The 24,042-nt window shown below is 47.4% G+C and overlaps 1 pseudogene, besides 1 other annotated feature; it reads right to left on the bottom strand.

The window, feature by feature from the left end:
- Nucleotides 19,485-20,395, bottom strand: LOC100419991 (phosphoserine phosphatase pseudogene; annotated as a pseudogene).
- Nucleotides 23,583-23,734: a silencer, noted in NCBI's record as "fragment chr7:62514452-62514603 (GRCh37/hg19 assembly coordinates)". NCBI's record gives its function as "represses an EF-1alpha promoter that drives an FKBP-Casp9 reporter gene in an ReSE screen in HepG2 liver carcinoma cells {active_cell/tissue: HepG2}" and the evidence as "EXISTENCE:reporter gene assay evidence [ECO:0000049][PMID:32094911]".

The raw sequence follows: 24,042 nt of genomic DNA, 5'->3' as shown, positions 1-24,042 counted from the left end.
CAGGCAGAGTCAAGTAAGGAAAGAGAAAGGCTGGGCATGGTGGCTCAAGCCTGTAATCCCAGCACTTTGGGAGGCTGAGACGGGTGGATCACGAGGTCAGGAGATCGAGACCATCCTGGCTAACACAGTGAAACCCCGTCTCTACTAAAAATACAAAAAATTAGCCGGGCATGGTGGCAGGCGCCTGTAGTCCCAGTTACTCAGGAGGCTGAGGAAGGAGAATGGGGTGAACCCCAGAGGCGGAGCTGGCAGTGAGTGGAGATCACACCACTGCACTCCAACCTGGGCGACAGAGCGAGACTCTGTCTCAAAAAAAAAAAAAAAAAAGAAAGAGAGGCTGCCCCACCTGTCCCACACTCACCTCAAGCTCACTGGGGCTCTAGGTGGTCTGTGGCAGTAGCTGGGCCAGGTAAGGCCTTGAGAGGCAGGGCTGAGGGCCACAGCAATGGCTGTTTTGGTGTCAACAGCAGGCCTGGCAGATACTGGGACCCATGCAGGCCAGGAGTGGAATTTTGGGGGCCGGGAGTGGAGTGTGGGTTCCAGTGTGAGGAGCAGGCTGGTCCTGCTGCTTCTTCCCTTTCCCAGGAGTGGAACAAGCACCACAGCCCCTACCATGACAGGAAGGCGAATGTTCCCCTCAATGTTGAGACCCTCAATGTTGAGCCAAACTGTCCTGAAATGGGGCAGTTGGAATTCCAAAAAAAGAAGCTCTGAAGCCCAGAGCTATTGAATTGTAGCCATGTGGCTAGAAAGAGTCACAGGTCCCTTCAGAGCAAACAACGAGTTTTGGCTCTGAGGGGTCTACATCTTCCCAATCCCCCAGGACATGTTGGGGACAAACACTGTCCTGGGAACTGTCCTTGAGGCAACCTTAGACAAGTTCTGTTTCTAGGTGAGGGTGGCAAAAGCCATGCTCTGAGGGGAAGCCACATGGAAGCCAGGTGACATTATCCCACACAAGAGGACTGGTGTGCATCAAACAATGTCGCCTCCCAGGAGGGCACGGAAGATCACACACTTTTTTTTTGCTTTTCTTTCTTTCTTTTTTTTTTTTGACAGAGTCTCGCTCTGTCACCCAGGCTGGAGTGTAGTGGCACGATCTTGGCTCACTGCAACCTCCACTTCTCAGGTTCAAGAGATTCTCTTGCCTCAGACTCCCAAGTAGCTGGGATTACAGGCATGCATCATGATGCCGGCTAATTTTTGTATTTTTAGTAGAGACCAGGCTGGTCTCGAGCTCCTGACCTCAAGTGATCCACCTGTCTCAGCCTCCCAAAATGCTGGGATTACAGGTATGAGCCAATATGCTTGGCCTGAGATCATAGCTTCTCTTCAGGACTTGGAGAGGATGGGGACTGCATGTCTGCACAGAGTCCATAAAACAGCTTTGTGTGGTTGGTGCCAAAGCCTGATGGCACCTGGAGTATGACAGGTGATTACTGGGATATTATGACAGTTGATCATTGATTATTGAGAATCGAATAAGGTGACTCTGGGCATGCATGCTGCTGTCCCCCAAATGGCTCAAATCCTGGAAAAACTAAATACTTGCTCAGGTCCATGGCATACTGAATGTAGTAAATGCTTTCCGCAGCATACCCTTCCAAAGTCCCGGGACCTTTTGCCTTCAGCTGAGAGGACCAACAATGTACCTTCTGGTTGCTCCCAGTGAAACTTACACAGCCCAATTATCCAACATGGTTTAGAGTGATGTGAGACATTTTGGAGTGATGTGCCCGACATTCTCTGGGAACACTATATGGATAATATTCTTCTAATCTCTAGAGATTGAAGTCTTTTGCAGAAACCTACCTAGAAACTCCTAAAGCATTTACAATCCAGAGGATGGGCCAGTCATGCCCAGAAAGTCCAGGGAACAGGGGGCACCATGACATTCCTGGGCATGGTCAGGTTAAGTAAGACCCAAGTTTTGCCAACAGCTGTGATCATCAAAATCCAGACATACCCACAGGCCTCTGTATAGTTTGGATCTGTGTCCCCACCTGAATCTCAACTCTAATTGTAATCTGCTGTGTTGGAGGTGAGGCCTGGTGGGAGGTGATTGGATCATAGGTGTGGTCCCTCATGAATGGCTTAGCACCATCCCTCCTGTGCTGTTCTTGTGATTGTAAAAGTTCTCACAAGATCTAGTTGTTTAAAAGTGTGTAGGCCGGGTGCGGTGGCTCACGCCTGTAATCCCAGCGCTTTGGGAGGCCAAGGCAGGTGGATCATGAGGTCAGGAGATCGAGACCATCTTGGCTAACATGGTGAAACCCCATCTTTACTAAAGATACAAAAATTAGCCGGGCATGGTGGCACGTGCCTGTAGTCCCAGCTACTTGGGAGGCTGAGGCAGGAGAATTGCTTAAACCCAGGAGGCGAAGGTTGCAGTGAGCCGAGATCGCACCAATGCACTCCAGCCTGGGTGACAGAGTGAGACTCCATCTCAAAAAAAAAAAAAAAAAAGGGTGTGTAGCACCTCTCCCCTCTCTCTCTTGTTCCTGCTCCAGTCATGTAAGATGTGCCTGCCTGCTTCCTCTTCCCCTTCCACCATGTTTTTAAGCTCCCTGAGGCCTCTCCAGAAGCTGAACAGAAGCCACTTAGCTTCCTGTACAGCCTGTGGAACTGTGAGCCAATTAAACCCAGTTCCAGGTATTTATTTACAGCAGTGTAAGCGTGGACTGATATACCTTGTTTTATGAAAGGGCTGTATCTGCAAAGGGATCCCCAACACAGAAGGAGTCAAGAAACCAAAGAATGAAACAGACAAATCCAGTTTGTCAGTAAAAGGTAATCTATTGGGGGGAACTTGTGGGCAGAAGCATGGTCTTGAGTGGTAGCAAGACAGGTAGTTCCCCAGGCTGTTACCCCCAAGATTTAGGGCTTACTTAGTATAGGAAAAGGGTAAATATGCTCTATAAGGAATGTGCAGGACAATTAAGGTCAGCCTTCCAGAAAGAGAATGAGGTGCACATCGTAGCCTGTAGTTTGTATGATGACATATAGGTTGCTTTGACCTAAGGAGAAGATTTACAGTAAGTATGTGCTCTTACACAAGAAACAGTAGATGAAGTAGAAATCTTAAGGGCATTCCCAGAACTGGGGTTAATTCAAAGTCAACATGGTGGATTCGCATCCAAGATGGAGCTGCTTTAGCCTCCACAGAGCTCCTTCCCCAGACCCGTGGAGCCCTTAGGGTTTAGAGGACCAGCGTAGAAATTCTCATCCAGGCAGTTTGATCCTTTTGGTTCTCAAAAGGGAATTGAATGTACATATCTGCTTATTATTCTCAAATAATTTCTTCTTTCACGTTATTATTTCTCAAATCTTTCCTTTTTTTCCCTCTCCACAGAAAAAGCTACAGAAAATTTAAAAGTATTTTCAGAAAAGACAGTACACTGAGTAGGATTTGCACATCAAGAAAAAGTAGAAATGGGAGCTGGGAGTCAAGTGTTTTGGAGGGGGATAGAGAAAAAGATTAGGCTGGAAGGGGTACTGGGCCAGTTGTCGGGGCGTGTACACCCGTGTGTGTGTGTGTGTGTGTGTGTGTGTGTGTGTGTGTGTGTGTGTGGTGTGTGTGTAACTTTCTCACTGAACGTTTACTTGAACAACTCCAGCACTGTCTAGACTGGATTAACAGAAAGATGTGTGTGGGCAGTTGGGGGGTTTGTGGGCAGGCAACCCTGGTAATGGGATGCAGTGATGGCAGCTGGGCTGCTGAGCAGGCATGATGAGCTGCAGAAGGAGCAGGGCTCTGGTTCCCATGCTGGTCCATCGTGCTGGTGTGGAGCTTCCTCCAGGCTGTGGGGTGTGCATGGTAGGTGGGGCTTCCCTCCTTCCCCAAACTAGCCCAGCAATTCCCCAGGAAGTCAGGCCACTGCTACTGCTTCTGACTGCACTGCATCTCTAAAGGGAGTGTCACCCTGTCTGTACCAAGGATGGGGACAGCAGAAGAATCTCACAGGCCAGGTGGGTCTCAATTGGTAAATGCAGGGTGGACATATGTGTGTTTGCTGTGGCTCACCACTCTGTCCTTTGCAGACACTGCTAATTAGTCAGTCACAGGATTCTCACCCCAGTGCCCAGTGAGCACTACCAAAAGCTCCAGATGGCTTATAAGCATCTGGAGACTCTTGTATTCCCTGTGGATCCTTCCTGACCAGATCTCAGAACCTTCCCTGGAAATGAGGAAGTGGCATGTCACCACCCAGTACCTGTACTGTCAGAGATGGCATCCCGGGTGACCATTCCCTGAGTGGAGGAAGAGAGGGTTCCGTGCAGGGGACTTCCTTGGTGGATGATGGGGTAAGTGAGGCCTTTGGTCTGGCATAAAGCCTGTGTGGAGCAGAGACTCCAGTGGGGCTGTGACAAGCAGCTGCTGCTCAACCAGGCCTCCCAGGACACTTTGTCCCCCTCCCACCACAGCTGAGCCTGGATGAGACTGTGGACACCCATAGACACCAGAGGATGAGACCTTGAGCAGTGGTGGTTCTGGGGTGTGGGGTGAAGGCAGCTGGGACAGGGCCTCCAGGTGTGGGAGGATCCAGCCTCTCTTGTGAGGCCCTGGGCACATCACTGCCCTCTGTGGGCCTCTGTTTCCTCATCTGGCAGATGAACAAACGATGAGCCTGTTGAGCAGGCCTCACAGCGTCCTGATGGGGTTCAGTAAGGAAGGGAATTTATGGGTGCTTGTACCTTGCTCTTCCCACGAAGGATGATGGTGAGAGCACTGCTGAGAGCCACATGAAACTGAGTCATCAGGAGGCCCTGTGAGGAAGGCGTGGTTCCCATCACACTTCCTTGATGAAAAAATAGTCTCAGGGAGGTCCGGCCACCTGCCCAAGGTGACACAAGCAGTAAGTGTTGGAGCTGGGAGTGAATCTAGAATCAGGGCAGAGTGGAGTTGGTGGGAGCATTGCAACAGCTCACTCAGGCTGGTTATCTAGGACCTGAGGTCAAGGGGGCTTAGGTATAACTGAGGGAGGAGAGAATAGTCTCCCTGACCTTGTTCCTGACCCTGGCAGGTGGAGACCTCCAAACTGGCCATGCAGGAGATGATTCCTCACACAGCACAGATGAGGCTGTGGGGCAGCAGGTGAGTGGATCTGTGGTGGGAGGGGCTCCAGGGAGCCGAAGGGCAGTCTTCTTCCCCACCAGCTGGAGGCCTCCACATCAAGAGAGCAGGGGGTCTTCCTCCCCCAGCCCTGCCCTCCTGTGGCCACAGGGCCTGAAATGCCTCCATTAGAGGGAGCAGAGAAACCAACCGCCTGGGCAAGCTGGGCTCAGTGTAGATTTGGGGAACAGTGAGACAGGGGACCCCATGCCCTCATGACTTGTTAAAATCCCAGCATAGAAGTAACTGGGGGTGTCTAGTGGCCTTGGGGGCCAGCCGGGGAGATGGGGGAGAGGAGGGGAGGGCTGGGGGAGGCAGCTGAGGGTCCTGGGCTGTTCCAGGTTGGAGACCTTGGGAACCAGTGTCCAGGCAGAAGTGGGTGGTGAGATTTCAGGGGACAGATCTTGGGTGGGCACCTGATAATGGGAGCTCACCACCACTACCACCCCAATGGCCAGGGTGACGTGCCTTCTCTGGGCCGGTGGGGGGTGGGGGTTCCTCATTAACCTGGTGAAGCTGGGCACTGCCATGAAGGACTGTGTGGGTGGGAGTGAGCCTGGGGCAGGCAGGTTGGGGACCAGGATCCTCAGGCTTGGGAGGAGAGAGCCCTGGACACAGACCTTTGATCACAGCAAGCCCCCTCCTGTGTGAGCCCCACCGTCCTCCCCATGCCCCCTGAGCTGGGGCGTCAGGCCCATCTTACCTCTGAGTGGTGGAGGCTCCAGAGCAGCTTCCAGTCCCTGTTCCCTGAGTGGTGAATCTGAAGAGCTGTCCGACTGCAAAGCTGCAGGAGCTGCAGGAGCTGGACTCAGCCTCTCCCTCAGGTAGTGCCCATGGAAGGAGAGGGAAATTGGGCCCTTCCCAGGTCAGGCAGCTCCTAAATGTCCGAGCATTTTCTTTCTATACAGGGCCTCTGTTTGTTTGTCTGTTGTCAGAGAGTGTTGGGGCAAAAGGTCCCTGAGCCACAGCTCCCACACCTCCTCATCTAGAGCCCAGAGCTTGATGCAGGTCCCAGTGCTGTTCTATGCATATTTCTCACCCCTGCTGGCCTGGCAGAAGTGCAGCATGGGAGGGTGTGGGGATGGGGGTAAGTCATGGGCCAGGGGCCTTTCTGAGGGTCTTTGGCTGGCTGCCTTTCAGGGAAATGTGATCAACACCCAGAAAGGAAAAAGGGAGCAGCTGAGGCCCTCACTTTGGGGGAGGGTGGGGATGTGGAAATCAGAGACCATCCCACCCACTTACCCTGGGTAGAACACTCCCCGGCTCCATCCTCTGCATCCTGGATTTATTGGGAGGGTTTGATACACAGAGGAGACCCATCCCAATGGAGCATGTGCATAGGGGACAGGAATCATGGACAAATTCCTGGGGAGGCTATTTATCTGTTTATATCCATCTTTGAGAAAAGGGTGGGGCTGCATGGGATTGGAGAAGAGGGAGTCCATTAAGAGAAAAGCCCTAGAGATCAGCCTTGGTTTACCCCCTCCCCAAGGGCCCTTCAGCATCTTCCACCCAGGCCCTGTCAGCCTTTTGTTCTTCCCTCTGGCTCCAGGAGATCAAAGTCCTCCAAAAATGCAGCTGCTTCAGTGACAAGAGGGAATTATAATCTTCAGACTCAGGAGGAATATGGGGTTGGTTTCAAGCCCATGGAGCAGCACAATCGATTGAGAGGTGAGAGCCTAGCGGATTGACAGAGGGTGGGCAGAGGCTCAGTCTGAAACACAGGCTGCTTGTTTCAGACAGCCTGTGGCCACGGCTCTCTGGTCAGAAGCAGGCCCTGTTGAATGGGAGCCCTGGGCAGGCACTGGGAGGTAGGCCTGAGGTGTGGCTCCTGGAACCTCACAGCTGCTGCTCTGTCCTACAGCTACAACCTGTCCTGCCGCTGAGCCCCATCCCAGTAGGCCAGCCACGCCCTCAAGGCCAAGAAGACCAGGCCATGAAGAATCTAAGGCCCACTGAGTGCCCAGGTAGCAAGGGCAGAGTGCCTCAGGGCTCGGTGAAGTTTGGGCTGAGCATGGGCTCTGGAAGTCAGACAGCTACACTGGGCTATCAGCTCCACTGTGACCAGCCCTGTGACTGGGGCAGGGGACTCACTGCTGTGGTACTTGAGCATCACTGTCATAAATTGAATGTGTCCGTCCAATCCTTTTCTCTTTATCTTTCTTCCTCTATAATCACATGTACTACTGATCTCTGTTAGTGTTTTTGTTCAAATGAATAAACATATGTTATATAGTGTGTATTATACTTCCTCATGATTTCTTCACTATACTGTATAATTCCACTCATATGAACTTAACTACTAGAGTAGCTAAGTTTACAGAGACACAAAGTAGAAGAGTGGTTCCCGGGGCTAGAGGAAGGTAGGTGAGGTGTTTAGTGGGTACAGAGTTTCAGTTTTGCAAGATGAAAAACACTCCCTATAAATGTGGAGGATGCTTGTAAAACAGTGTGAATGTGCTTAATTCCTCTGACCTGCACACTTAAAAATTGTTAAAATGAAAAAAAAAATTGTTGGCTGGGTACAGTGTCTCACGACTGTAATCCCAGCACTTTGGGAGGCAGAGGTGGGTGGATCTCCTGAGGTCAGGAGTTCGAGACCAGCCTAGCCAAAATGGTGAAGCCCCATCTCCACTAAAAATACAAAAAAATAGGCCGGGTGCGGTGGCTCACACCTGTAATCCCCGCACTTTGGGAGGCCAAGGCGGGCAGATCATGAGGTCAGGAGATCGAGACCATCCTATCTAACATGGTGAAACCCCGTCTCTACTAAAAATAGCTGGGCGTGGTGGCGGGTGCCTGTAGTCCCAGCTACTTGGGAGGCTGAGGCAGGAGAATGGTGTGAACCTGGGAGGCAGAGCTTGCAGTGAGCAGAGATTGTACCACTGCATTCCAGCCTGGATGACAGAGTGAGACTCCATCTCAAAAAAAAAAAAAAAAAAAAGCCAGGTGTGGTGGTGCATGCCTCTAATCCCAGCTACTCAGGAGGCTGAGGCAAGAGAACTGCTTGAACCCGGGAGGTGGAGGTTGCAGTGAACCAAGATTGTACCACTGCACTCTAGCCTGAGCAACAGATTGAGACTCCGTCTCAAAGAAAAAAAAAAGAACAGACTATAGCTATTTGCAACAGCATGAATGAATATCACAAATACAATGTTCCTTAAAAGTAAGTAGATATGAAAGTATACATACTGTATAATGTGATTTATACAAAATCCAATAAGCAGACAAAACTGAGGTCCTGGCTTTCAGTAATACTGGAGTAGCTTGTTGAATTAACACAGATTATAATGATGACATCCGAATAATATATATTGTTATAGAAACACATCTATATAATACAAATATGACCTATGTGTGAGTAAGAACTGAATGAGGATTTCAGCTATGCCCACTATAGGGGAGATAGGTATTGATGTTTGAATCCAGCCCAATTAACATCTTTTATAAAACATAACACTGCTCTTCAAAGTTACACAACAGAATTGAGCATCTTTATAATTCCTTACAGTTTTAGTACACAACTTTAAAATTCATGAGATGTGTGAAGAAACATGAAAATGGGATCCATACATAATTTAACAAGAAGATAGTAGAAGTGATCCTAAGATATTCAAGGTGTTGTAATTCAAGATGTTTAAAGGCAGCTATTATAAATCTGTTCATGGGGGTAAAGGAAAATATTCTAACAATGAATGAAGAGATGTGGAACCTCAGCAAAGAAATGGAAATTATGAAACAATAGGAAGATAAGGAAATTTAAAAAATACTTTTGAGCTTATTCAAAGATTAGAAACAGAAGATAGAGCAATAGAAATTGCCCATTCTGAATATAAGAGTGAAAAAGCTTAAAGAAACTGAAGAGTCTTAGAGACCTATGGAGTGATTGAGTTCTAGGTGGAGAGCGGACAGAAAAATTAGACCAGCCGCCCTGGTCCCGCTGAAACTTGGCAGGTAGGAGAGGTTTGGGAACAGCCAGGCTCCCCTTGGCATGGCAGAACTGCTCTGGACTCGGGGAGGTGTGGATTGGAGGGCGGGAGCTAAGCCTGGCATACTAGGACTTATCATCTTTGATTAGCTTCCAGTTTTTTAATTGCAGGGCGACCGGATTACAATTCCAGCCAGCATGAACACGGGACGGCGCGCAGTCTTGAAGGGCGAAGCAGGGCTGCGCCGGGCTTGCTGTACATGCTGGGAGCTGTAGTCTTTTCACCGCTCCCGCCCGTTGTTTCAAGCGCTTCGGGACTACAATCCCAGCATGCTCCGGGCTCGGGGGCGGGGTGCAGTTCTTGTGGGAGGAGTGGGGCGGGGCGGGGCGCGCCTGGCCAGGCAGGCTGGAAACGGTAGCTCTTAACTGTTCCCCGCCCGTTGATGACGAGGCGGCTGGACTAGAATCCCAGCAGGAAACATGAGAGGAGGCGGGCAGCCCAAGAGGGTTGGGCAGGGCAGTGTGGACCTCGCCGCTTCCACAGCGATGCTGGCTACTGATCGCGGGCACCTCCTTGCCATGGGATGTGAGTCCGGAGAGGGACAGGAGGGGCAGGTCCAGGCTGGGCAGTGAGGAGGGCGTGACGCCGCGAAGTGCTCCTCGCCCTTGTCCAACTCGGATGGGTGTTGTCCTCACCCCACTTCCCGCTGCTAGGCTGGGTTCCCTCTTCCACCTGCACCCGGGGTCTTTCCTGGACATCACGCCTCCTCCAGCTCAGGGACCCACCTGCTTTCCTAAGCTGCTGTGGGAACTGGCCTGAGGTCCAGGCGCTGTCCATTGTGCCGCTGCCCTCTTTTCTCTCCAGCCAGAGCGCAGTGCAGCCGCTATGGGGAGAAATCCGCCGCCTGGCCCGCCAGTGCACAAGTTCAGAGCTTTGCAGGGGGTAACATGGACTGTGGTTTCGTGAAAATGTCACCCTCACCAGCGCCTTTTTCTTGGATGTGGATGTTGAGGCGGCAGAGAGGTTCATTATTGGTTTACCCAGGAGATGCTAAGAGTAGAGGAGAAAATCTCACATCCCAGGCGTGTGTCTCTGGTGCGCCATTTTCCACCAACCCATTTGGTGGAAAGTCGCCTAAATAGCTACCCAAAGATGAAGATAGTTTAGGCATTTTACACGTGACATCATTGGCCTCATCTCAACTGAGGCCTGACTGGCCAGTGTCTCAAAGGCACAGATGGCAACCTGATCCTCAGAAACCGGTGGTGCTCCAGCTTTGTGGGAGCGACTTTCAAGGTATGGAGAACTTGGGGAGTCTTTGAAACTCCTCAGGCTTCACAACTTTGCTTTGAATGGAATGTTCATCACCCCCGGCACTCACGGAGGTACCTTTACTCTCTTGGGCTGATCTGTTTAATTTTTATGTCTAGACAATAGAAACTTCTGGGAGCACTTCTGGTTTCGTGTAGCTTCCTAATAATTGATGTCCCTTAATTCCATGTGTCCTCAGGGACAGTTCCTTTGATTCTGGAATGGCGCCAGCTTTTATGTTTAATCCGTAAAAAACAAGGTGTTAATCTACATAAAAGTAAGACCTTGTTCATATCACACATTCCAACAGGCTTCATTTCTGATTCCTGAATGTGGATTACTATTTTAAAAAAGCCTAAAAATTCTGGTCATGGATATTAGACACTGTTATTGTACTTTGTGAAGAATTTACTCCTTCAGGATCAATTACACACGGGCTCATCAGTACCTTTGTAAATAAAGGAACAAGAACCATGTGGCATCTATGGATGTGGTGAGGTGAAGTATAGGGAGACCACAGCATAACAGCTCTTCCCTTGTTTTCAGTAGTCTGTGGGGTCAAGTACCTGCCTTCCTCCCCCATCCCTCACTATTTTCATTCTACTCCTGACTGTTCCCTCTTCAGGTGGGAGTTTCTAAATACACTTGTCTGCAAGTGTTGCTGGGGATGTTGTAACGTGAGGTCATCCATCATCCGTCACCTTAAAGATGAATGAAGAGGATTTTGTGATCTGTGTTCAAGAGGCACTGCTGTTGGGTGTGTGGCTGCAAAAACACGTGATCTCAGCTGTCCCCAGCAGCTGCCTCACAAGATTGGTCCTGATGCAGCCACAGCTGCTGTACACAGAGCCAGGAGCTCCTTGCAGTTTGGTGTATTCTGCTGAGATTTGTGGCTCTGACCCTCCTCTGCTCACCCCATTCCTGGTAGTATCTGCTCAGCTGCCTGGTTTGGTCCAGTGTTTCCTGGGAGCCTGTTGTGTGACTGCATTTCAGAGGGTCTTTAGGGATTCCACCCTCACTACACCAGTCACTCTACACTGGCCATGCACTTAGCTTCTTGGGACCCCGTGTGTGTCGTCTTCAGTGGAGCTGTGAAGAGCTCTAGTTAGGGATAGATCTCATTCTCACGTGCCTCAGGCTGCTTCAAAAGCTGATCATCTTGTCTTTGGACATATGGACATTATTCCTTTTGTGTATTTTGAAGTCCGTTGCTGTTTTTTTTCCTTTTTTTTTTTTAATAATGTGGACCCTTGCAGTAACAGTGACAGTCACTTTTCAATATCTTTGTGAATTTAACTCTGGCAACAATTTGATGAAGTTGACACGTGGTTCTCATTTTATAGGTGAGGAAACTGACACTTGGAGAGGTAGAGTAGCTTTATTTACTTCACACAAGCTTTTGATGAAATCAAGTCTCAACCTAGAAGTCTTCCTCTAAGGTATGACTGTGGCATATTCTTTGTGTTTCTCTGCCAGTGTCCCAAAGGGGTCCACATCCCATCTGGACTCCGTTTTCTTCTTAATGACAGGAAACTTGCAGAAAGAGGGCTTCGGTTGGGGAGAGCACTTGCTGGCACTTGGCCTTCCCTGTCCTCCACCTTCCCCTTGGCAGGGCTTAGGTGATTTGAGGGAGCTGGATCAGCAGTAGCTCCTGACCAGCACTCACCTGGAATGCTTGTTGTTATGTGAAGATAACACCCACTCACTTTTTGCAGTGTGATTTTTTTGTTCTAATTATTCCCTGGGATTTCTCTTCCAGGTTTGTGCTTGCACGAACCTGTAATTCAAATACTGATGAAAACAAAACTATTGCCCTCCTACCAAATGGTAACAATGCGTGTAATTTTCTTTTTCTAATTATAAAAGAAATGCATGCTGTTTGAATAATGGCAGATCATAGAGATCTTTATGTAACAAAATTCTCCCATGTCTTCCTCTTCGTTCCAAACTCACTCCCTTCTTAGAAGGAATTATTATAGCTTGGTGTTGATTCTTCTGGATGTTTTCTATGAATTTATAAATACAAATAAAGTTGGCCAGGTGCGGTGGCTCATGTCTGTAATCCCAACACTTTGGGAGGCCAAGCAGGGAGGATCCCTTGAGCTCAGGAGGTCGAGGCTGCAGTGAGCTGTGATCATGCCATTGCACTCCCGTCTGGGCAACAGAGTGAGACCCTGCCTCCAAAAAGAAGAAAAAAAAGAAGATAAATACATGTACAGTTTTTGAACACAAATTGTATCATACTATTTTTTTTATTTTGCTATTTCATAAGCAATATATCATTTACATTATTCCATATCAATGCATGAGATTCTAACTCTCTATTTTTAATGTCTTAAATGTATTCCAAAGAATGGATATACAAGATTTATTTCACTGTTTGTTCTTTGATAGAAACTTAGATTATTTCTAATTCCATCATTATTATAAAATGCAGCGATAAGATTCTTGTACATAATTTACTGCACTGACAACTAACCGTTCAGTTTATCTTGCCTTCTTTTAGTCAGAGAATATGTCATGAGTTTAATATTTATTTTATGATTTGATTCATAGGGTAATTAATATTATGACTGGATAAGACAATTGTGAAGAAACTGCATTTCGAGGTTGTCTATCTCTGTATTCTGATGGAAAAGCGTGGAATTTAGAAGCATTGCTCGCTCCTTCAGTTTCTAACAAGTCAGTATTCTCATAGCAATTTAAATTTAGATGTTTGAATTGTTTCTCCTTCCCTGATTCAGGATAAGTATGTTGTTCTTCTGTTTGTGAAACTTCTGACTCCAGGGATTTTCAGTTGGGCTTTAGAGAGGGTAACTCCCATATTGCTGTTGCTTCTATTTCTCTTCAGCATCTGGCAGCATGTGATAAAGATCATAGAATTAGACCAGGTCTGTAGTTCTCCTTGAAGAGGTCCTTCACATCCCTTGTAAGTTGGATTCCTAGGTATTTTATTCTCTTTGAAGCAATTGTGAATGGGAGTTCACTCATGATTTGGCTCTCTGTTTGTCTGTTGTTGGTGTATAAGAATGCTTGTGATTTCTGTACATTGATTTTGTATCCTGAGACTTTGCTGAAGTTGCTTATCAGCTTAAGGAGATTTTGGGCTGAGACAATGGGGTTTTCTAGATATACAATCATGTCATCTGCAAACAGGGACAATTTGACTTCCTCTTTTCCTAATTGAATACCCTTTATTTCCTTCTCCTGCCTAATTGCCCTGGCCAGAACTTCTAACACTATGTTGAATAAGAGTAGTGAGAGAGGGCATCCCTGTCTTGTGCCAGTTTTCAAAGGGAATGCTTCCAGTTTTTGCCCACTCAGTATGATTTGGCTGTGGGTTTGTCGTAGATAGCTCTTATTATTTTGAAATACGTCCCATCAATACCTAATTTATTGAGAGTTTTTAGCATGAAGGGTTGTTGAATTTTGTCAAAGGCCTTTTCTGCATCTATTGAGATAATCATGTGGTTTTTGTCTTTGGTTCTGTTTATATGCTGGATTACATTTATTGATTCGCGTATATTGAACCAGCCTTGCATCCCGGGGATGAAGCCCACTTGATCATGGTGGATAAGCTTTTTGATGTGCTGCTGGATTCAGTTTGCCAGTATTTTATTGAGGATTTTTGCATCAATGTTCATCAAGGATATTGGTCTAAAATTCTCTTTTTTGGTTGTGTCTCTGCCTGGCTTTGGTATCAGGATGATGATGGCCTCATAAAATGAGTTAGGGAGGATTCCCTCTTTTTCTATTGGTTGGAATAGTTTCAGAAGGAATGGTACCAGTTCCTGCTTGTACCTCTGGTAGAATTCGGCTGTGAATCCATCTGGTCCTGGGCTCTTTTGTGTTGGTAAGCTATTGATTATTGTGACAATTTCAGATCCTGTTATTGGTCTATTCAGAGATTCAACTTCTTCCTGGTTTAGTCTTGGGAGAGTGTATGTGTCGAGGAATTTATCCATTTCTTCTAGATTTTCTAGTTTATTTGCATAGAGGTGTTTGTAGTATTCTCTGATGGTAGTTTGTATTTCTGTGGGACGGTGGTGATATCCTCTTTATCATTTTTTATTGCATCTATTTGATTCCTCTCTCTTTTTTTCTTTATTAGTCTTGCTAGTGGTCTATCAATTTTGTTGATCCTTTCAAAAAACCAGCTCCTGGATTCATTAATTTTTTGAAGGGTTTTTTGTGTCTCTATTTCCTTCAGTTCTGCTCTGATTTTAGTTATTTCTTGCCTTCTGCTAGCTTTTGAATGTGTTTGCTCTTGCTTTTCTAGTTCTTTTAATTGTGATGTTAGGTTGTCAATTTTGGATCTTTCCTGCTTTCTCTTGTGGGCATTTAGTGCTATAAATTTCCTCTATACACTGCTTTGAATGCGTCCCAGAGATTCTGGTATGTTGTGTCTTTGTTCTCCTTGGTTTCAAAGAACATCTTTATTTCTGCCTTCATTTCGTTGTGTATCCAGTAGTCATTCAGGAGCAGGTTGTTCAGTTTCCATGTAGTTGAGCGGTTTTGAGTGAGATTCTTAATCCTGAGTTCTAGTTTGATTGCACTGTGGTCTGAGAGATAGTTTGTTATAATTTCTGTTCTTTTACATTTGCTGAGGAGAGCTTTACTTCCAAGTATGTGGTCAGTTTTGGAATAGGTGTGGTGTGGTGCTGAAAAAAATGTATATTCTGTTGATTTGTGGTGGAGAGTTCTGTAGATGTCTGTTAGGTCCGCTTGGTGCAGAGCTGAGTTCAATTCCTGGGTATCCTTGTTGAATTTCTGTCTCGTTGATGTGTCTAATGTTGATAGTGGGGTGTTAAAGTCTCCCATTATTAATGTGTGGGAGTCTAAGTCTCTTTGTAGGTCTCTCAGGACTTGCTTTATGAATCTGGGTGCTCCTGTATTGGGTGCATATATATTTAGGATAGTTAGCTCTTCTTGTTGAATTGATCCCTTTACCATTATGTAATGGCCTTCTTTGTCTCTTGATCTTTGTTGGTTTAAAGTCTGTTTTATCAGAGACTAGGATTGCAACCCCTGCCTTTTTTCGTTTTCCATTTGCTTGGTAGATCTTCCTCCATCCTTTTATCTTGAGCCTATGTGTGTCTCTGCACGTGAGATGGGTTTCCTGAATACAGCACACTGATGGGTCTTGAATCTTTATCCAATTTGCCAGTCTGTGTCTTTTAATTGGAGCATTTAGTCCATTTACATTTAAAGTTAATATTTTTATGTGTGAATTTGATCCTGTCATTATGATGTTAGCTGGTTATTTTGCTCGTTAGTTGATGCAGTTTCTTCTTAGTCTTGATGGTCTTTACATTTTGGCATGATTTTGCAGCGGCTGGTACCAGTTGTTCCTTTCCATGTTTAGCACTTCCTTCAGGAGCTCTTTTAGGGCAGGCCTGGTGGTGACAAAATCTCTCAGCATTGGCTTGTCTGTAAAGTATTTTATTTCTCCTTCACTTATGAAGCTTAGTTTGACTGGATATGAAATTCTGGGTTGAAAATTCTTTTCTTTAAGAATGTTGAATATTGGCCCCCACTCTCTTCTGGCTTGTAGAGTTTCTGCTGAGAGATCTGCTGTTAGTCTGATGGGCTTCCCTTTGTGGGTAACCCGACCTTTCTCTCTGGCTGCCCTTAACATTTTTTCCTTCATTTTAACTTTGATGAATCTGACAATTATGTGTCTTGGAGTTGCTCTTCTCGAGGAGTATCTTTGTGGCATTCTCTGTATTTCCTGAATCTGAATGTTGGCCTGCCTTGCTAGATTGGGGAAGTTCTCCTGGATAATATCCTGCAGAGTGTTTTCCAACTTGGTTCCATTCTCCCCGTCACTTTCAGGTACACCAGTCAGACGTAGATTTGGTCTTTTCACATAGTCCCATATTTCTTGGAGGCTTTGTTCATTTCTTTTTATTCTTTTTTGTCTAAACTTCCCTTCTCACTTCATTTCATTCATTTCATCTTCCATCGCTGATACCCTTTCTTCCAGTTGATCGCATCGGCTTCTGAGGCTTCTGCATTCTTCACGTAGTTCTCGAGCCTTGGTTTTCAGCTCCATCAGCTCCTTTAAGCACTTCTCTGTATTGGTTATTCTAGTTATACATTCTTCTAAATTTTTTTCAAAGTTTTCAACTTCTTTGCCTTTGGTTTGAATGTCCTCCCATAGCTCGGAGTAATTTGATCATCTGAAGCCTTCTTCTCTCAGCTTGTCAAAGTCATTCTCCGTCCAGCTTTGTTCCATTGCTGGTGAGGAACTGCATTCCTTTGGAGGAGGAGAGGCGCTCTGCTTTTTAGCGTTTCCAGTTTTTCTGTTCTGTTTTTTCCCCATCTTTGTGGTTTTATCTACTTTTGGTCTTTGATGATGGTGATGTACAGATGGGTTTTTGGTGTGGATGTCCTTTCTGTTTGTTAGTTTTCCTTCTAACAGACAGAACCCTCAGCTGCAGGTCTGTTGGAGTACCTGGCCGTGTGAGGTGTCAGTCTGCCCCTGCTGGGGGGTGCCTCCCAGTTAGGCTACTCGGGGGCCAGGGGTCAGGGGTCAGGGACCCACTTGAGGAGGCAGTCTGCCCGTTCTCAGATCTCCAGCTGCGTGCTGGGAGAACCACTGCTCTCTTCAAAGCTCAGATGGAAATGCAGAAATCACCCGTCTTCTGCGTCGCTCACGCTGGGAGCTGTAGACTGGAACTCTTCCTATTCGGCCATCTTGGCTCCTCCCTTTTTTTCTTTTTTAAGACAGATTCTCACTCTGGCACCAAGGCTGGAAGTGCAGTGGCTCAATTTCGGCTAACTGCAGCCTCCGCCTTCCAGCTTCAAGTGATTCTCCTGCCTCAGCCTCCCAGGTAGCTGGTACTACAGGCATGCATCACCACACCCAGCTAATTTTTGTATTTTTTTTTTTTTTGGCAGAGTTCCGATTTCACCATGTTGGCCATGCTGGTTTCAAACTCCTGACCTCAAGTAATCCTCCTGCCTCACGCTCCCAAAGTGCTGGGATTATAGGCATGAGCCACCATGCCCAGCCAAAAGTCTCCTCCTTGAGTCTAAATTGCTTCAAATGCATAGAAGCTCCCATAAAGTTGAAATATAACATATAGGAAAGTAAGTCATAGGGGCTACGTAGGAATTAATGTTTCACTAAATGCAGACATTTATGTACAGACAGGTGATGTTATAGATAATAAAGCTAGGACAGATGATGACCTAAGTCTATTTTGCTGAGCAAAGGGTACCACAGGGCAAAGGACATCAATTAAGATAACCATTTATCTCAATATTTAACTGTGATGTGACTGTTTAAGTTTCATAACAACAGACACTACCCAGAATACTGAATAACAGAACTGCTAAGAAAGGGAATGTGTTACCATTAACATCTTACCGTTAAAGTAGAATTTCTGCTTATTGGCAAATACATTGGTTGCTGGGATATTGAGCTTTGAAGCAACATGCTCTACAATACTCCTAAAGCAACCAGGTGTTAGGAAAACCAGAACATTTAGCTCCTGTAGGAGACTTACCAGCTCCCTGAAAAAATAAAATACAAAATATCAAACATTGAGTAATACAAAAGGAAAAAAAAAGAAACACGAAGAGGAAATTAGGATATATTTTCTTCTCCTGAATGCATTTGCCTGAGGTATATTTGACAAGGTATATTGCCTGGGCAGTTAATGTTTTATATATGTTTTTCTTTTTCTTTCTTTCTTTTCTTTTCTTTTCTTTTTTTTTTTTTTTTTAGATAAAGTCTCCCTCTGTCACCCAGGCTGAAGTGCAATGGCGCAATCTTGGCTCACTGCAACCTCCGCCTCCCAGGTTCAAGTGATTCTTCTGCCTCAGCCTCCTGAGTAGCTTGGATTACAGGCATGCACCACAATGCCCGGCTAATTTTTGTTTTTTGTTTTAGAGATGGAGTCTCGCTGTGTCACCCAGGCTGGAGTGCAGTGGTATGATCTTTGCTGACCGCAACCTCTGCCTCCCGGGTTCCAACGATTCTTCTCCCTTAGCCTTCCAGGTAGCTCAGACTACAGGTGCCCGCCACCATGCCTGGCTACTGTTTTTGTATTTTTAGTAGAGACAGGGTTTCACTGTGTTGGCCAGCCTGGTCTCAAACTCCTGACCTCAGGTGATCCACCCGCCTCGGCCTCCCAAAGTGCTGTGATTACAGGCATGAACCACTGTGCCTGGCCTGATTTTTGTATTTTGCATAGAGGCAGTGTTTCACCATGTTGGTCAGGCTAGTCTCAAACTCCTGACCTCGTGATCCACCCACCTCGACCTCCCAGAGTGCTAGGATTACAGGCATGAGCCACCACGCCGGGCCTTATATGTGTTTTTCTAAATGCACTTAGAAATCAATGGGTAGGGTTGGCTCCTTTAGGAAACCATTCCAGAACCCTACTCTGCCCATGGACCCAGAAAAACATAAGATGAGGACAAACAAGGAAAGTTTAGGTTTTCGCTGGAGAAAGAGGAAAGGCAGAAACAGACAGGACCAGAAAACCGGCCAGACAAGATGATGTGTAAGTGCCAAAAGAACCATAAGGCCATGCCTTTAATTCCAGCACTTTGGGAGGCCAAGGTAGAAAATCACTTGGGGCCAGTAGCTTGAGAATAGCCTGGGCAACATAGGAAGACCTCATCTCTGCAAAAAAGTTTTTAAACGCTGGGTATAGTGACTCAAACCTATAATTCCAACACTTTGGGAGGCAGAGGTGGGAAAATTGATCACTTGAGCCTGCAAGTTCAAGACCAGCCTGGGCAACATAGTGAGACCCTGTGTCTATAAAATTTTTTTTTTTAAATTAGGCATGGTGGCCTACATCTGTAGTCCTAGCTACTTAGGAAGCTGAGACAGGAGGATCCCTTGAACCCAGAAAGTTGACACTGCAGTGAGCTGTGTTCACGCCTCTGCACTCCAGCCTGGGTGACAAAGCGAGATCCTGTCTCTCAAAAAATGTTTTTAATTAGCTGGGCATGGTGGCATGCACCTGTAGTCCCCACTACAAAGGAGGATAAGGTAGGAGGGTCACTTGACCCCAGGAGTTTGAGGCTGCAGTGAGCCATGATTATACCACTGTACTCCAATCTGGGCAACAGAATGAGACTCTGATGCTAAAAAAAAAATTAATAAGCCAGGTGCAGTGGCTCACACCTGCAATCTCAGCACTTTGGGAGGCTGAGGCAGGCGGATCACTTAAGGTCAAGAGTTCGAGACCAGCCTGGCCAACATGGCAAAACCCATCTCTACTAAAAATACAAAAATTAGCTGTGTGTGGTGGTGGGCACCTGTAATCCCAGCTACTCCAGAGGCTGAGGCAGGAGAATCATGCAAACCTGGGAGGCAGAAGTTGCAGTGAGCTGAGATTGCACCACTGCACTCCAGCCTGAGACTTCATCTCAATAAAATAAATAAAATTTTGCCAGGCACAGTGGCTCATGCCTGTGATCCCGGCACTTTGGGAGGCCAAGGCGGGCAGATCACCTGAGGTCAGGAGTTCAAGACCAGCCTGACCCACATGGTGAAACCCTGTCTCTACTAAAAATACAAAAACTAGCCTGGCATGGTGGTGGGCGCCTGAAATCCCGACTACTTGGGAGGCTGAATCAGGAGAATCACTTGAACCCAGGAGGTGGAAGCTGCAGTGAGCCGAGATCGCACAATTTCACTCCAGTCTGGGTGACACAGTGAGACTCTGCCTCAAAAAATAAATAAATAAATAAACAAATAAATAAATATTTTTAAAATAATAAAATTAAAGAATAAAAATGAAAATAAATGAACCACCCAGAGGGCGCTCTAAAGGAATAGTTAGATGCTCTCACAAGGATGCGCCCCCCAACACTGGTGCTGAAATACACCTGGAGCCGGGGCTTCTCTTACCTTATGCCGGGCATCAGGTGTAGGGGGTGCTCTGCCATGAGTCTCTGCACCTCCTCCCTGAAGGGCTGGATTAGGGCTAAGTGCTCCATGAGAGCAGCTTTGAAAGGCACTGCCCCGGCTATGGCTCACCATGTCCTGGGAGGGAGACCCCACAGTCAGGCCAGCCAGGTCCGATGTCCTCAAGGTTAACATGCCTTAGTGCCCTGGCTCTGCACAGCATCCACCAAAAGGAAGATGCTACCAAGAGCCCCACTGTGCAACAGACAGGCTTTGCTGCTATGAGAGCAAGGCCTTGGAATAAACTTTTGAAGGTTTGCTTGAAAGTAACATTAACAGGCCAGGTGCAGTGACTCATGCCCATAATCCCAAAACTTTGGGAAGCTGAGGTGAGCAGATCACCTGAAGCCAAGAGTTCAGGACCACCATGGCCAACATGGTGAAATCCCATCTCTACTAAAAAGAAAAGGCAAAAATTAGCCAGGTGTGGCGATGGGCACTTGTAATCCCAGCTACTTCAGAGGCTGAGGCAGGAAAATTGCTGGAACCCGGGAAGTGGAGGTTGCAGTGAACCGAGATTGCGCCACTGCACCCCAGCCTGGATGACAGAGTGAGACTCCATCTCAAAAAAAAAAAGTCACACAGCCTATCTACAGGTAGTTTTCTTGAAAGCCATGAGCTGTCATAAATCAAGAAAAAGACCTAAGGCTAAATGTTCTTCCACGAAAGGCAGTTGAAAATGAAATAGTGGCTGGGTGCGGTGACTCATGCCTGTAATCCCAGCACTTTAGGAGGCCAAGGTGGGCAGATCACGAGGTCAGGAGATCCAGACCGTCCTGGCCAATATGTTGAAACCCCATCTCTACTGAAAATACAAAAGTTAGCTTGGTGTGTTGGTGCATGCCTGTAGTCCCAGCTACTCGGGAGGCAGAGGCAGGAGAATCACATGAAGCAGAGAGGGGGAGGTTGCAGTGAGCCGAGATGGCGCCATTGCACTCATGCCTGGGTGACAGAGTGAGACTCCCTCTCAAAAACAAAACAAAACAAAACAAAACAAAAAAAACACAGTAGGCCAGGCAAAGAGCACAGTAGGCTGGGCGTGGTGGCTCACGCCTGTAATCCCAGCACTTTGGGAGGCAGAGGCGCGCAGATCACTTGAGCCCAGGAGTTCAAGAGCAGCCTTGCCAACATGGCAAAACCCCATCTCTAACAAAAATACAAAAATTATCCAGGGATGGTGGTGTGTGCCTGTAGTCCCAGTCACTTGGGAGACTGAGGTAGGAGGATCGCCTGAGCCCAGAAGGTCAAGGCTGCAGTGAGCTGAGACCATGCCATTGCACTCCAGCCTAGGTGACAGAGTGAAACTCAGTCTCAAAAAAAAAAATTTAAAAAATTACTCCATTTAGCACGGGAGCAGTTGCTCATGAATCCCAGCACTTTGGGAGACTGAGGCAGGTGGATTATTTAAGACCAGGAGTTAGAGACCAGCCTGGGCAACATGGTGAAACTGCTGTACCAAATAAATAAATAAATAAATAAATAAATAAATAAATAAATAAGCCAGGCACAACTGTGATCCCAGCTACTCAGGAGGCTGATCCCAGCTACTCAGGAGGCTAAAGCATGAGAATCGCTTGAACCCAGGAGGCGGAGGTTGCAGTGAGCTGAGATTTGCATCACTGCACTCCAGCCTGGGTGATAGAGTGAGACTCTCTCTCTAAACAAACAAAAACAAAAAATATTTATTTAATCAATCCACAATGACATCTTGAAATTGAGAATGCTTCCTTACTGTTCACTCAGCAGTTATTTATTTTTATTTATTTATTTATTTATTTTGAGATGGAGTCTTGCTCTGTCACCCAAGCTGGAGTGCAGTGGCGCCATCTCGGCTCACTGCAATCTCTGCCTCCCAGGTTCAAGCAATTCTCCTGCCACAGTCTCCTGAGTAACTGGAATTACAGGTGCATGCCACTGCACCCGACTAATTTTTGTATTTTTAGTAGAGATGGGGTTTCACCATGTTGGCCAGGCTGGCCTTGAACTCCTGACCTCAAGCTTCCCACCTGCCTCAGCCTCCCAAAGTGCTGGGATTACAGGTGTGGGACGCCGTGGCCAGCCAAGCAGTTCTTTTCAATACAAAGACTATATAACTACGTTACCAAAGGTTAAAGTTTTGGTAGTGGGTTGACGAGGAATTTTTATCATGCCAGCCCTTTTGTGGGCTAGCATATTTTGTACCGGCACTCTCAGCATGTAGACATTTAATATCATGGCCTTATGCAAAACTCTGGCTTCACTCTGTATTTTCAGACTGACCTAACTGATGGAATTTAGCAGCAATGTTTCTAGACACCTGCACTGACTAAACGATTCCAGTCATCATCTCTTTGGTTTCTCCTAGATGATAGGAATGATAGTGAGTGGTGAATCCTTTTACAGAAACCAGACTTTTACCTGACTTTTTCTAAACTGGGTCATCGGCTCCCAAGTGGACGGCCACAGTGGTATCATGCCACAGTGATAAAGGAGTCAAGGCCTGGTTCCAAGGCCAGCTTGACACCTGTATGGCCTGTCTGAACTCTCGGGATTATTGGGAGGAACAAAGATTTGGAAATGGCCATTCTGCCCCCTCCTGGAGTCTTGCTTTCCACGTCTCTACCGAGACTGATGGAGAGTGCCTGCAGTCCCAGAATTTTGGGAGGTGGAGGTGGGAGGATCGTTTCAGCCCAGGAGTTGGAAAACAGCCTGTGCAACATAGCAAAACCCAGTCTTACAAATAACAAATTTTAAAAAATTAGTCGGGCGTGATGGCGCGTGCCTGTAGTGCCAGCTATTCGGGAGGCTGAGGCAGAAGGATCGTTTGAGCCCAGAAGTTGGGGCTGCAGTGAGCCGAGATCGCGCCACTGCACTCCAGCCTGGGTGACAGAGTGAGACCCTGTCTCTAAAAGAAATGGAGGCCAACCCTGCAGAACCGCCTCTGCAGCCCGGGCTTTGTGGCTTCTCTCCGACCCCCTCCCAGTCGCAGACGCGCCCACTTTCAGCCCAGCGTGCCGAAAGTGGCCGAGTCCCATCTGCCCCTGCGGGCCGCTCGCCGTCGCCATGGAAACGAAAGCGGCCAAGGAGGGCTCCGCCCTAACGCGCCGGCTCCGGTGGGCTCCGGCGGCTGCGCCGCGGCGGACAAAGATGCTGAAGGCCAAGATCCTCTTCGTGGGGCTTTGCGAGGTGAGGCCTTGCCCGGCGCGGCAGAGGGAGCGGGGAGCGGGCCTCGGGGCCTGGGCGAGCGCAGGTCCCCACCACTCTGGTCTGTGCCTTGCTCCTGGAGGCGTGAACCCGGGCCCACCGCGCCCATCCCGGTTGGCGCCCCTGGCCTTTCCGTGAACTCCGTGCTTTCAGACCTCGATTCCAACCACTTCCCGGAGGAGGTAATGGAGGCGAGCCCGGTGTTAATGAGCCCCCAAGGCCCAAGGTACTGAGTGGCGTCGTTGGAAGCACAGCCTAGGTCTCGTGACTCTTTCCATTGCCCCCAGGATCCCCCTGATGAATGCGTCTGTGGGTCTGGACTTACGTTTGTTTGAGACAGGGTCTCGCCCTGTCGTCCAGGCTGGAGTGCAGTGGTGTGATCATAGCTCACAGCAGCCTCGACTTCCCTGGGCTCAAGCATTCCTCTGCCTCAGCCGCCTGAGTACCTGGGACTACAGGTGTGCACCACCATGCCTGACTAAATTTGTTGTTTTTGTTTTGTTTTGTTTGAGACAGAGTCTCGCTCTGTCACCCAGGCTGGAGTGCAGTGGCATGATCTTGGCCCACTGCAG

The sequence above is a fragment of the Homo sapiens genome, chromosome 7 (genome assembly GCF_000001405.40).
Source record: "Homo sapiens chromosome 7, GRCh38.p14 Primary Assembly".
NCBI lineage: Eukaryota > Metazoa > Chordata > Mammalia > Primates > Hominidae > Homo > Homo sapiens.
Note: the sequence above shows the minus strand (reverse complement) of the source record. Positions and strands in the feature narration are given on the sequence as shown.